Source organism: Homo sapiens, chromosome 19, assembly GCF_000001405.40.
Source record: "Homo sapiens chromosome 19, GRCh38.p14 Primary Assembly".
Classification (NCBI taxonomy): domain Eukaryota; kingdom Metazoa; phylum Chordata; class Mammalia; order Primates; family Hominidae; genus Homo; species Homo sapiens.
This window is the reverse complement of record NC_000019.10, coordinates 19,876,349-19,890,665: the sequence shown is the minus strand read 5'-3', so window position 1 is coordinate 19,890,665 and position 14,317 is coordinate 19,876,349. Positions and strand designations below refer to the sequence as shown.

General features: G+C 36.4%; 1 protein-coding gene across 3 annotated transcripts in view; it reads right to left on the bottom strand.

Moving 5' to 3' along the window:
• Positions 1-14,317, bottom strand: part of ZNF253 (zinc finger protein 253) — a 28,845-nt gene that overhangs the window by 4,009 nt on the left and 10,519 nt on the right. Inside the window, exons 2-3 of one of the 3 annotated variants that reach the window (NM_021047.3) lie at positions 12,059-12,185; positions 10,520-10,615 (exon numbers count right to left, since the gene is read on the bottom strand). The exons of 1 other annotated variant lie outside the window; for it this stretch is intronic. In NM_021047.3, coding sequence (NP_066385.2) covers positions 10,520-10,615; positions 12,059-12,185 — 223 coding nt within the window. The remainder of the gene's footprint in view (positions 1-10,519; positions 10,616-12,058; positions 12,186-14,317) is intronic. One more of the 3 variants, NM_001331133.1, reaches the window with a different exon arrangement.

Below are 14,317 nucleotides of genomic sequence, written 5' to 3'. Positions count from 1 at the left end.
CCTGTAATCCTAGCTACCTGAAGGCTGAGGCAGGAGAATTGCTTCAACTGTGGAGACGGAGATTGTAGTGAGCTAAGATTTTTGCCACTGCACTCCAGCCTAGGTAAGAGAGTGAGACTCTGTCACACACACACACACACACACACACACACACACACACACACACAAATATAAATTGCCAACTCCTGGTTTCTTTTTTAAAAATAAGAAAAATATTGGCACATACATCTTTATTTCTGGCATCTATGAACTTTTTTAGACACCGGCTAATGTCTCCCATGACATAAAATGCTGAAACAGTGATATGTTAGAATGACAGTTTGAGTCTGCTGAGTCTAAAGGTAAATGTTACAGAAGCAGAGAAACTGCAGTAATCCAAACAGGAATGGCTGTAGCAAGTGATTACTGATTATTAGGAAGAAATATGAATAAGCCGATTTAACTAAACAATAAACACAAAATTTTAGACAAGACACATCCTAAAAACATGTTTGAGAAATTCCCAGAATCTCTAGCCAAAACAATTGATTTCAGACTACACAAGGACAAAACTATATTATAAAGATTGGCACAGGTAGCTTTTTGTTAATGCCTGAATCTCACTCAAAGATTACAATGTATACAAAATATTTGGGCAGCATGGCCCATCAAAAAAATTATAAAATTTTCAAAAGCAGCCATAAAAAGTGAATAAAGTAATTTTTAAAATTCAGAATAAATTGAACAGGCCAAGCTTGGAAGCTCATTCCTGTAATTCTAACACATTGGGAAGCCAAGGTAGGAAAATCACATGAGGTCAGGAGTTTGAGACCAGCCTGGCCAACATGGTGAAACCCTGTAACTACTAAAAATACAAAAATTAGCTGGGCGTGGTGGCATGTGCCTGTAATCCCAGCCACGTAGGAGACTGACACACGAGAACTGCTTGAACCCAAGATGGGAAGCTTGCAGTGAGTGACTGTACCACTGCTGGCCAGGCTGGGCAACAGAGCAAGCCTGTCTCAAAAAAAAAATAAAGTAGGACAGGAACAGTGGCTCATGCCTGTAATCCCAGCACTTTGGGAGGCTGGGGTGGGTGGATCATTTGAGGTCAGGAGTTCAAGATCAGCCTGGCCAACAGAGTGAAAGCCTATCTCTACTAAAAATACAAAAATCAGCCAAATGTGGCAGCATGCACCTGTAATCCCAGCTACTGGGAGGCTGAGGCAGGAGACTCACTTGAACCTGGGAGGGGTAGGTTACAGTGAGCCAAGATCATGCCACTGCACTCTAGCCTGGGCAACAGAGTGAGACTCTGTCTCAGAAAATAAATAAATTAATTAATTACATAAAAGAAATTGAATGATATTCAGTAAGTGAAATAGGAACACAGACGACTACTGAAGATCAGAAAAATGAGGATAAACAAGAAAAAATATTAAAATAGAAAAAAACAAAAATTATGGATATAAAAAATATAAAAATAACTTAAAAATTTCTTAAAAGAAAAAATAATGTAAACATGAAGAAGCTGAACAAACTAGGATACACAAAAAGATATTTATCACAAACACACCTATAAGCAAAATTTCAAAAATCACAGATAAGAAAAGAATTTTGGGTGCTGCAAGATAAAAATGATGTGTCATTTATAAGCATAGTCTTATAAGATAACCAGTGAATTTATCAAAAAAAATTTTTGCAGAAAATAATACCATCGGCAAAATTGTACTATCATATAAAAAGGAGTCCTTCCAAAATAACCAAATCCTAAGAAAGTATATTGGCACTGCATATGCCCTACCTATCAAAGATGCTGAAAGAAGTTTCTTCCACTGAAAATAACATAATACAAGAAAACAACACATGATCATATGAAAATACATAACTTTCTGGAGAAGATATGCACATACACAAAAATAGAATTCCTTACTTATTATCATAATGGCACAGAAAGCACTTTTAGTTATTCTCTAAAATGCAAAAGATGGAAGTAGAGGAATTATTATAAACATCTGTTAATGAATATATAACATAAGTAGAATTAGCAAAATCAATAACAAAGTTGAAGGCAGATGTAATGAAGAATGTTTGCATGCAACTGAAGTTAATTTTTTACTGCATTAAAGTATATTGTTGGATCTTTTAGAGGTTTTATGTAATCCCCTAGATACCACTAAGAAACTACCTGCCTAGATACACAAAAGAAAATAAGAAAAAAATTAAAAGCATATCAATACAAAAATAAAAAAAAAACACAAAAAGACAGAAAGAGAAAAAGAGACAAAGATAAAAGAATCAAATAAAACAATAAAATAACGTTGGCCAGGCGCAGTCGCTCACGCCTGTAATCCCAGCACATTGGGAGACCAAGGCGGGTGAATCACTGGAGGTCAGGAGTCCAAGACCAGCGTGGCCAACATGGAGTAACCCCATCTCTACTAAAAATACCAAAAATTAGCCAGCATGGTGGTGGGTGCCTATAATACCAGCTACTCAGGAGGCTGAGACAGGAGAATTACTTGAACCTTAGAGGCAGAGGTTGCAGTGAGCCAACATTGTGCCATTTCACTCCAGCCTGAGTGATAGACCAAGATTCCGTCTCAAAATAAATAAATAAATAAATAGATAACATTAGTAAGTTTTTCTCTTTCGGAAAACTATTTAAATATATATAATTATCTTTCCAGTCAAGAAACATACTTTCAATAAAAAGGTTTATTAAAAAATTTTATCAGCCTGATCAACATGGTGAAACCCCATCTCTACTAAAAATACAAAAATTAGCCAGGCGTGGTGGGGCATGCCTGTAATCCCAGCTACTCAGGAGGCTGAGACAGGAGAATCACTTGAACAAGTGCACTGCAGTCTGAGTGGCAGAGTGAGACTTCTTCTAAAAAAAAAAAAAAAAAAAAAATTAAAAATCAAGATCCAACTTGCCTTTCTACAAGAGTCACCTGAGATCTAATGACAAAGACTGAAAGTGGCAAGACAGAAGTAGAAATTTCATGTAAATATTAACCAAATGAGAGCAGAAGAGGTCAAAATAATATTACACAAGCTACATCTTAAAGTCAAAAACTGTCATATTTTATAAAATGTACTTTAAGTCAAAACTTCAAAAAGACGAAGAAGGACAATATATAGATCACCTGAGGTCAGGCATTCAAAACCAGCCCGGCCATCATGGTGGAACCCTGTCACTAGTAAAAATACAAAAAAATTAGCCAGGTGTGGTAGCAGATGCCTTTAATCCCAGCTACTCAGAAGGCTGACGCAGGAAAATTGCTTGAACCCGGGAAGCATAGGTTGCAGTGAGCTGAGATCGCACCATAGCACTTCAGCCTGAGCAACAAGAGTGAAATTCCATCACAAAAGAAAATAAATAAATAAATAAAATTATATATAAAAAAATAGAATGCCTGAGTGGTTTTTAAAAAGCATACAGTACGCTGCCTACAAGAGACTCATTTTGCATTGAGTCAAATAGGCTGAAAATAAAAAATGAAAAAAAAATGTATATTCCATGAAAATAGTAACCACAATTGAGTGATGTGGTCATAATTATATTAGACATAATATGCCTTAAGTCAAATACTACCATGAGACATAGACTGGTATTATTTTATAGTAAAGTGAGTTGATTTAGCAGGAATCTATAATCGTAATATTTATCTATCTATATAAATGTGTGTATATAACATCAGGGCTCCAAAATATATAAAGCAACTATTGACAAAAGTGAAGCAAGACATACATGGCAACATAATAATTGTAGACATCAAGACTCCATTTGCAGTAATAAATATAAAATTCAGATAAAAAATAAGAAAAAAACTTAGCTAACATTATAGACAATATTAATTATTTTGCATATAGAGGAATACTTGAGAGTAGCATAATTTATAAAGAAAAAAGGTTTATTTGGCTCACAGTTTGGCAGACTGTATAAGAAGTGTGTGCCAGCATCTGCTTCTGGTGAGGATTTCAGGAAGCTTAAAATCATGGTGGAAGGTAAAGAGTAACTGGACATGTTATATGGTAAGAGACAGAGCAAGTGTGAGGTGAAGGACCCAGGTTCTTTTAATGAACCAGCTCTCATTTGAATTAATAGAGTGAAAAGTTTTTGGTTACCAAGAGGATATACCAAGCCATTCATGAGAAATTTGCCCCATGATCCAAACGTGTCCCACCAGGTCCCATAACCAACATTGAGGATTTATATTGCAGCATGAGGTTTGGACAACATGAATATCCAACCCATATTATAGACCAACTAGGCTTCACAGACACATGCAAAACTCTCCAGTCAAAACCAAGATAATACACAATATTCTTATTTGCATCTGGTGTATTCTGTTAGGACACAGAGCAAGTTTTATTAAATTTTAAAATACTGGGAACAGTGGCTCTTGCCTATAATCCTAACATTTTAGGAGACCAAGAAAACAGGATCCCCTGGGGCCAAAAGTTTGAAACCAGCCTGGGCAACACATTGACATCCTAACACTACAAACAAGCACACAATTAGCCAGACATGGTAGTGCATGTCTGTAATCCTAGCTACTCAGGAAACTGATGTGAAAGAATCACTTGAGCCCAGGAGACTGAGGCTACAGTGAGCCAAAATTATGCTACTGCACTCCAGCCTGGATGACGGTAAGATCTTGTCTCAAAACAACAACAACAAAACAATTTTAAAAGACTAAAATTATACACTGTGTGTTTTCTAACAAAAACTGAATGAAATTAGGAATTAAAAGCAAAAGTCAAATGGCAAATTCAAAAGCATGTGAATATAAAACACACTTCAACATTCTTGCTCAGGGGTCAAAAAATTTCATTGTTCAAAGATGTCAATACAACAGTTAAAAGCTACAGTATCAACACTGATAAAATAAAGTTGGATTATTTCCTTGAATGATACAAAAATACATTTTAAATAAAATACTTAGACAAAATAAACTAACAAATATTTTAGAAAAAATACAAAACAAGCCGGGCACGGTGGCTGATGCCTGTAATCCCAGCACTTTGGGAGGCCGAGGCGGACGGATCATGAGGTCAGGAGATCGAGACCATCCTGGCTAACATGGTGAAACCCCGTCTCTATTAAAAATACAAAAAACTTAGCCGGGCATGGTGGCGGGCGCCCATAGTCCCAGCTACTTGGGAGGCTGAGGCAGGAGAATGGCGTGAACCCAGAAGGCAGAGCTTGCAGTGAGCTGAGATTGCGCTACTGAACTCCAGCCTGGGGGACAGAGCAAGACTCCATCTAAGAAAAGAAAGAAAGAAAAGAAAGAAAAGAAAGAAAAGAAAGAAAAGAAAGGAAGAAAGAAAGAAAGAAAGAAAGAAAGAAAGAAAGAAAGAAAGAAAGAAAGAAAGAAAAGAAAGAGAAAGAAAGAAAGAAAGAAAGAAAGAAAGAAAGAAAGAAAGAAAGAAAGAAAGAAAGAAAGAAAGAAAGAAAGAATACAAAAAAAAGACATGACATTGGTCTTGGCACCATTTTTTTAGGTACGACATTAAATGTATGAGCAACAAATAAAAGAACAAAAAAGTTTAACTACACTATACTTCAAAATTTCTGAAAGAAAAAAATTTCAGGAGTGACAACGTCCCTTAGAAAATAGTTGAAAACATTTACATATTACTTGTTAAAAGAGTTAATATTCAAAATATATAAATGACTCTTAAAACTAACAGTAAATTTGAATAACTTGATTTAGAAATGGACAAATTTTTCTCAAAAAAATACACAAAATTGGAAAATGCATTTGAAAGCACACACAAAATTACTAATTTGTAGAGAAATGAAAAAAGAAACATAACAAACAAAATCACCTCATACCCATTAGAATGGCCACTATAATTTTTTTTTGATACACCAAATCTGTTGATGATGCAATAAAAATGAAACCCATGTTGACTGCTGGTGGAAAATAATGATGCAGCCATTATTTTAAAATGTTAGAAATGTTCCTTATTTATAAATCTATATCTAAAATACATAACACAGGCGAAGTGTAGTGGCTCAAGCCTGTAATCATAGCACACTGGGAGGCCAAGGTGGGCAGATCACCTGAGGTCAGAAGTTCAAAACCAGCCTGGCCACCATGGTGAAACACCATGTCTACTAAAAATACAAAAACTAGATGGGTGATGTTACGTGCACCTGTAATCCCAGGAACTTGGGAGGCTGAGGTAGGAGAATCGCTTGAACCCCAAAGGCAGAGGTTGCAGTGAGCTGAGATCACACGACTACACTCCAGCCTGGGTGACAGCGGGAGACTCGATCTCAAAAAAAAAATAAAAATAAAAATAACAAACAACAAAAGAAACAAAATATGTAACACAGGACCTGGAAGACATATTTGAAAATATATGTTTATTGTACCAGTATTCACAAAAGTCAAAAGGCTGAAGCAACCCAGATGTCCCTTGATTTATAAACATATCAAAAAATGTAACATATACATATGATGGAATATTATTCCACCTTAAAAATAACCATCTTGTCACATTTTAAGATGAAGATTGAGAATATTATGTCACCTGAATTAAACCAGTAACAAAATTATGGATACTATATGATTCCACTTATATGAGGTATCTTTTTTTTTTTTTTTTTTGAGATGGAGTTTCACTCTTGTTGACCAGGCTGGAGTGCAATGGCCCGATCTTGGCTCACTGCAACCTCCACCTCCCAGGTTCAAGCGATTTTCCTATCTCAGCCTCCCGAGGAGCTGGGATTATAGGCATGCGCCACCATGCCTGGCTAATTTTTTTGTATTTTAGTACAGACAGGGTTTTTCCATGTTGGTCAGGCTGGTCTCAAACTCCCGATCTCAGGTGATCTGCCTGCCTCAGCCTCCCAAAGTGATGGGATTACAGGTGTAAGCCACCACACCCAGCTATATGAGGTATCATAAGTAGTCAAAAATCATAAAACAGAAAGTTGAAGGTTTGTCTGTCAGGGCTGGAGAGAGGGTAAAATGAGCAGTTGTTACTTAATGGGAATTAAGTTTTAGCTTTATAAGATGTAAAGTTTCTAGAAGTCTTTTGCATAACAGTGTGAATATACTTAACATGCCTGAAATGAACAACTTTTTTTTGAGACAGGGTCTCACTCTGTCCCCCAACCTGCAATGTAGTGGCACAATTTTGAATCCCTCTCAATCTCCCAAGTAGCTGGGACCACAGGTGCACACCACCATGCTTGGCTATTATTAAATTTTTTTTATAGAGAGAGGTCTCCATATATTCCCCAGGCGGCTCTCAAACTTTTAGGCTCCAGGGATCCTCCTGCCTTGGCCTCGCAAAATCCTGGGATTACAGATGAGAGCCACAACCACACTTGGCCCTGAAATGTACACTTCAATAGATTTAAGACATTAAATTTTATGTTATGTGTTTTTAAAACAAGTTTTAAAGAAAAACAGAAAAAAATACAGAATTATAAATCCTTTTGAAAATTACCTTCAAATCACAAAAGTGCTTTTCTCACAAAAGGAAATATATATTCATCATTAAACACATGGAAAAAATAAAACTATCTCAATGACTGCTCACTTAAGATAAAACTACCATGGAAAATCAGCTAAGAAAGAATATAAGATAAGCCATAACTAAAATTGGGGTCATATTTATAGATAAACACACATACATATGTAATCTGATTGTAATAAACATGCATAATTTATCTTTTTTTTTTTTTTTGAGACGGAGTCTCGCACTGTTGCCTGGGCTGGAGTGCAATGGTGCAATCTCGGCTCATTGCAACCTCTGCTTCCCAGGTTCAAGCAATTTTCCTACCTCAGCCTCCCAAGTAGCTGGGATTACAGGTGCCCGCCACCATGCCCAGCTAATTTTTTGTATTTTTAGTGGAAACAGGGTTTCACTATGTTGGCCAGGCTGGTCTCAACTCCTGACCTCTTGATCCACCCACCTCAGCCTCCCAAAGTGTTGGGATTACAGGCGTGAGCCACCGCATCCAGCAATTTATCTCTTAATTAAACCTCAAATTGACTTAAAGTGTACAAACAGAATTGCAAATTGTCTAAAATTGTAATACAAATTAAAACCAAGACACAATAAACTGATGTTAAGAAACCTACACTAAGGCCGGACACCGTGACTCACATCTGTAATCCCAGCTCCTTGCAAAGCTGAGACATGAGAACTGCTTGAACCTGTAAGGATATTCGGTCTGTCTAAAAATAAAATGGAATTACAACTACCCAAGCCCCTGTAGCAAGCCAACTAAAGGTGGACCCAAAGGTAGACCCAGCAGCCTTGTGACCAAGCTACAACCCCTCTTCACTAAAAATTCACAGAATATCTCATCACCCTAAGGGCCCAATAAAAGAAGATCTTTACCTTCTAAAATCAGTTTATGAAAACTTGAAGAGGTGTTTGCTCCATCAAATTTAGATACCAATACAAAACTATATTGTGCCCATTGTCAATGCTTCTTCTTCTTCTTTTTTTTTTTTTTATTGAGACGGAGTTTCGCTCTTGTTGCCCAGGCTGGAGTGCAATGGTGTGATCTTGGCTCACTGCAACCTCCGCCTCCCTGATTCAAGCGATTCTCCTGTCTCAGCCTCCTAAGGAGCTGGGATTACAGGTGCATGTCACCACACCCGGCTAACTTTTGTATTTTTAGTAAAGACGAGGTTTCATCATATTGGTCAGGCTTGTCTCGAACTCCTGACCTCAGGTGATCCACCTGCCTTGCCCTTTCAACATGTTGGGATTACAGGTGTGAGCCAGGGAGCCCAGCCGATGCTTCTATTTTAATGTAGCACTGGAAGTATGTGGCAGAAGAATTAGTCAAAGAAATAAAAAAAAATCCATTGAAATTGAAAAACAGTAAGTAAAAAGTTGCTGTCTGTAGATCATACAATCACATATTTAAAAAACCATAAACAGTATATTAAACCCTGTCTAAACTAATAAATACAGTCAGTAAATTAGCAAAACATAAAATTAACATACATAAGTATATGTATGGTTTCATACACTTTTTTTTTTTTTTTTTTGAGTAGGAGTCTAGCTCTTTTGCCCAGCCTGAAGTGCAATGGGGTGATCTCGGCTCACTGAAACCTCTGCCTTCCAGGTTTAAGCGATTCTCCCATCTCAGCCTAACGAGTTGCTGGGATTACAGGCATGCGCCACCATGCCCAGTGAATTTTTGTAATTTCAGCAGAGACAGGGTTTCTCTATGTTGGTCAGGCTGGTCTCGAACTCCTGATCTCAGGTGATCCATGCACTTTGGTCTCCCAAAGTGCTAGGATTACAGGCGTGATCTAGTACTTTGGGAGACCACCCCCAGCTATGGTTCCATACACTTAAACTGCGCCCAGCTACAGTTTCATACACTTAAAACAAACTATCTGATAAAATAGAGAAAAAAATCTTATTTACTATAGCATTACATAATAAATTTCTGAGAAAAAAATTAACCAGGGATGTAAAAAACCTTTACAATAAAAAATAAATAAAAAAGGAAGATCCAAATAAATTTTAAAATATTTTATGTCTTTGGATTGAAAGAATAAATATTAATAAAGTGCCATATTATCCAAAGTGATCTATAGATTCAATACACTTCCTATCAAAATTGCAGTATTTTTTTCACAGTAATGGAAATTCAATTCTAAAATTTACATGAAACTAAAATAAACTTTGAATAGCCAAAACAGTCTTGAGGAAAAGGAACAAAGCAGAAGAATATCATACTTACAATTTCAATCTATATTTGAAGACTTTATAGAAATAAAAACAGAATGGACTGTGCAGAAAAATAAACAAAAAAAATGCAAGATAAACTAATACTCTCACGCATTTCAGACCTGATGCAAAAAGAGGACTTAAAAAAATAGTTTTAGTTTCTCAAAATTATGCAGATATTTGTGTGTCCCCAAAACAATGGAAAAGCAGCCAGACTGTGCAGCCTCTCATTCTCTCTTTTTTTTTTTTTTGTGAGATGGAGTCTCGCTCTGTTGCCCAGGCTGGAGTGCGATGGCATGATCTCGGCTCACTGCAACCTCCACCTCCTAGGTTCAAATGATTCTCCTGACTCAGCCTCCCAAGTAGCTGGGATTACAGGTGCCCACCACCACGCCCAGCTAATTTTTGTATTTTTAGTAGAAACGGAGTTTCACCATGTTGGTCAGGCTAATCACGAACTTCTGACCTCCCGTGATCCACCTGCCTTGGCCTCCCACTGTTCTGGGAGTACAGGGGTGAGCCACCACTCCTAGCCCGCGCAGCCTTTTACATGCCATGAAGAGGACTTTGGCTCTCACTGTGAACCTGAAGGAAGCTCACCAAAGGAGAAGTAGAATTCTTAGAGAATTTAAAAGCATAAGACAGAAGATGCCCCTTTGTGGGAGAAAAAAAAAAAAAAAAAAACAGCTGCCCAGGACCTATTTCCTTTGGAACACAGCTTCCAGAATCACATTTTAAAGACTGGTTTTCTCTTTGACATTGGGACCTTTTATCTGTGTCATCTGTTGTATTCGTTTTCACTCGTACCTACCTGGGGGTTTGGCAATCATCTCATGTCTTTCCATAGTTAAAGGTTTTTTTCCTTGCTCCAGACAGGTAACCAGGTCTGGCTTAGAGACAACAATACCTGTTTTATTAAAAATAAATAACATGAATCTTGCTCATATACTCCCATTACAAGCTAGTACTGTGCTCAGCAGAGAGGATGTGATAAAATATTCCAGTAAATCAATACCAAAATAATAATTTATAACAGAAATTTCTAAATATTTAGAAAATACTTTCAATTTGTAGGTTTCTTATTTTACTATCTGATACTACTGAATCAAAAATTAGTGGTAGCAATTAGATTTTCAGGTGGGGCAACAATATTTTATGCCACTAAATTTCTGGAGTTACCACTAATTTAGAGTGAATACAGTTTTCAGATTACTTTATGCTGTTATTTTATTCCTATTGTATTCACAAGTGAAAGCATGTGATCAATTGTTGCTGCATCAGAGATACTACAGATTCTTTTTTATTGGGCGTTATTTGTGACTTTTTCTATAAAAGAGTAAGGACATTAAAATGTAAGATGCATGATGAAAATGTAAGTGGAGAGGCTCTTTGTAGTTAACTTATACTAAGTAATGTATGAGGTAGGGGTTCATGTTCTCATTTCTCAAACTTAATGTTGATGCTTTGCTTTGTCTTTTGGATGGCCTAGCCTACATTAACATGTACGCAGAACATTTTAAAACTTTTTTTCAAAAACATAATGAATTACTTTATTAATAAACAATGATAAAAAATAAGGTGGGGGTTCAGAGAAATACTTTTCTACATTAAAGAGAAAAATTATAGTTAAAAGTATCAAATTTGTATATTATACTAATTGCATTTTTATGTAATAAAATGCAGTACATTTAAATATTATTAGATTATGTGTGAACTTAATTTTATTTAATTTTTTTTTACCATGTTAAGACTATTGTTTGCTTAATGAAGCATTATTATGCTACCAACTTTGACATATCCCACCTTACTCAAGCATGTAGGTAAAACATGGTAGCAATATACTATTTGGTACATAGTGGAATATCATGTCTAGTAATCACTTTGCCAGTGACTTTAAACTGCAAATGAGTTGAAGAACATTTTTCCCATCGGTTAAATTTTTATTCTTTGTTCTTACTGAAATTTATTCTAGTATTTGTGGGCATACAGTATATGTATATATTTATGCCTTATATGGAATATTTTGATTCAGGCCTACAATATGTAGTAATTACATCAGGGTAAATAGGGTATCCATCACCTCTAGCGTTTATCCTTTGTAGTACAAACAGTGTAATTATACACTTTTAGTTATTGTGAATGTACAATTAAATTGTTATTGATTACAGGGTTATCTTTGTGGTCATAATAAAAATTATACAGAAATATAAATAAAATATGGCCAGGCGCAGTGGCTTATGCCTGTAATTCTACCACTTTGCAAAGAATAAATTACTAACAAACATTCTACAAAAAAGAGAAATAAAATCTTCAGGGTATATTATGAATTATATATTCAAGTTGTCCTCACCAAGGAAGACCAAGTTTCTGTAGTTCTCTAACATCACATCCCTATATAAATTCCGCTGTGCAGTGTCCAGGCAATGCCACTCCTCCAGAGAGAATTCTATGGCCACATCTCTAAATTGCAATGGTCCCTGGAAAACACACACACACACATAATTACTAAATGGCATGAGAGGAATTTTTAATTTGACTTAAGGTGAAATTAGAGAGTAAAGAGAACTGGTTCTGACTCAAAGGACTGCCTAAAATTATCCAATAAAATATTTTTCAACCCAAAAATATTCTCTAATGTATCCTCTAACTCTGAGAAAAAAGAGCGGCACAAGATCCATAACATCAGTTTATATATGATATTTTTTAGATAATAGAGCATAAAATTAAGGGCATGAACATGAACATTTTTTAGTGCTATATTTGCATCATATGGAATGAGTTGTGAATATTTTTCAGATGCAAAAGATGTGTTGAGTTAGAAGGCACCTCTCAAATTTTAATATACACAATAAGCTGAAGACCTTGTTGTGCAGGGTTTTTTTTTATTCCGGAAGATCTGGCATAAAGTCTGACTTTTTGAATTTCTGACAAGCTCATCTCTAATGCGAATGTTTTTGGCCCAAGAACGGTATTTTGTCAAACATTGAGTAAATGGAAGAGCCTGTGTTTTTCCCAGTTTTTCTGGCCTGTAAACAAAGATAAGAGCCTTCATTTTCCAAAGAAAAATATGTAGCAAAAAAGAGAAGAAAGGATAGACGCCAGATTAAGTGTGATGGTTTATGCACATCAGCTGCATAAAAATACTTAATGAAGAGAGAAATAATTAACTCTATTGTAAAAAAAAATCTGTCAGAGAGCTATGTCACCAAGTGAATCATTAACCCTTAACTGCACTAGGACAAATTTTTATGATGTGCTAATTCACACAGAAGAACACAGCATCGGCCAGGCATGGTGGCTCACGCCTGTAATTTCAGCACTTTGGGAGGCCGAGATGGGTGGGTCACCTGAGGTCGGGAGTTCGAGACCAGCCTGACCAACATGGAGAAACCCCGTCTCTATTGATAATACAAAATTAGCTGGGCGTTGTGGCACATGCCTGTAATCCCAGCTACTCAGGAGGCTGAGGCAAGAGAATTGCTTGAACCTGGGAGGCAGATGTTGCAGTGAGCCAAGATTGCACCATTGCACTCCAGCCTGGGCAATGAGAGTGAAACTCTTCTTAAAAAAAAAAAAAGAAGAAGAAGAAGAACACAGCATCACTGTTGAAATATTCCTCCCAAAGAAAGTAAATAAAATCTGAATTTAACCATAAAGAAACATGTTTTATGCTAACTTCAAAATATAGATAACTCCTATGTTCTGTAACTTTTAGTAGGAATTTTAAGTAGGCTTCATTTAGCTCCCTAGAGAGCAGGTACCTTAATTTTCTTTCAGAACTTTCTGGGTAATAACTGCCATCCCTTTTAAATAAGCATTTCCCTAATCCTATTCTGCATAGAGCTAATGGAACACACAGATGGAGCCTCAACATTACATGTTCTCCATCTTTACTAAGGACCACAGTTTTCCCCAATAGAAATCTTGAGTATCCACGTCTTTCCATGTTCAACAGCCACGAAGGGAACATTTTTAATATTGCAGATTATAAAGTCTTGCTGAGAATCCTGCATGGCATATAAGAAGCTATGATGCAGCAAATGTAGAGAAGGCTCTAAGGTATAGAAAATAAATATTTTACAGAGACTCTTGACTATCATAAGAATTTTAAGAAGTACTTAAACCAAACTCATTAAAAAAAAAGCAAAAGTAGAGAAGTAAAAGTTTGTGAGTACTAAATGCATAGCATTCGAGGAGGCAGAGTGAATACAGCTCTTGATCTGAAACAGAAAAGCCACTTTTCCCTCTCTTGCTTCTCTGGAATTCCTTCTCAGACGAGATTCTCTGTACAAATTACACCCGTATCTTGATAATATGCCCTTAAAAGTGTCAGCACCACCTGTTTACCTGCTAGCATGACATCAAATGGCAGAAAGAAAAAAAACACAGAAAAAGTCCACCCTTTTCTGTCCTTTAAAACAGAAGAGATTCAGGAACAATGAGCTGCTTCATGAAGATAAAAATATAAGTTTCTCCTTTCCTGTCCTCAGGTGCCCTCCCCTGCCACAGACACCAGCAATTTTTGCTACAGTAATGGAAATATGTGCCACACTGACCTATCCCTACCAAACCCAAACAGAACAGGCCCTGTGACCACCCTTTAGTGCAA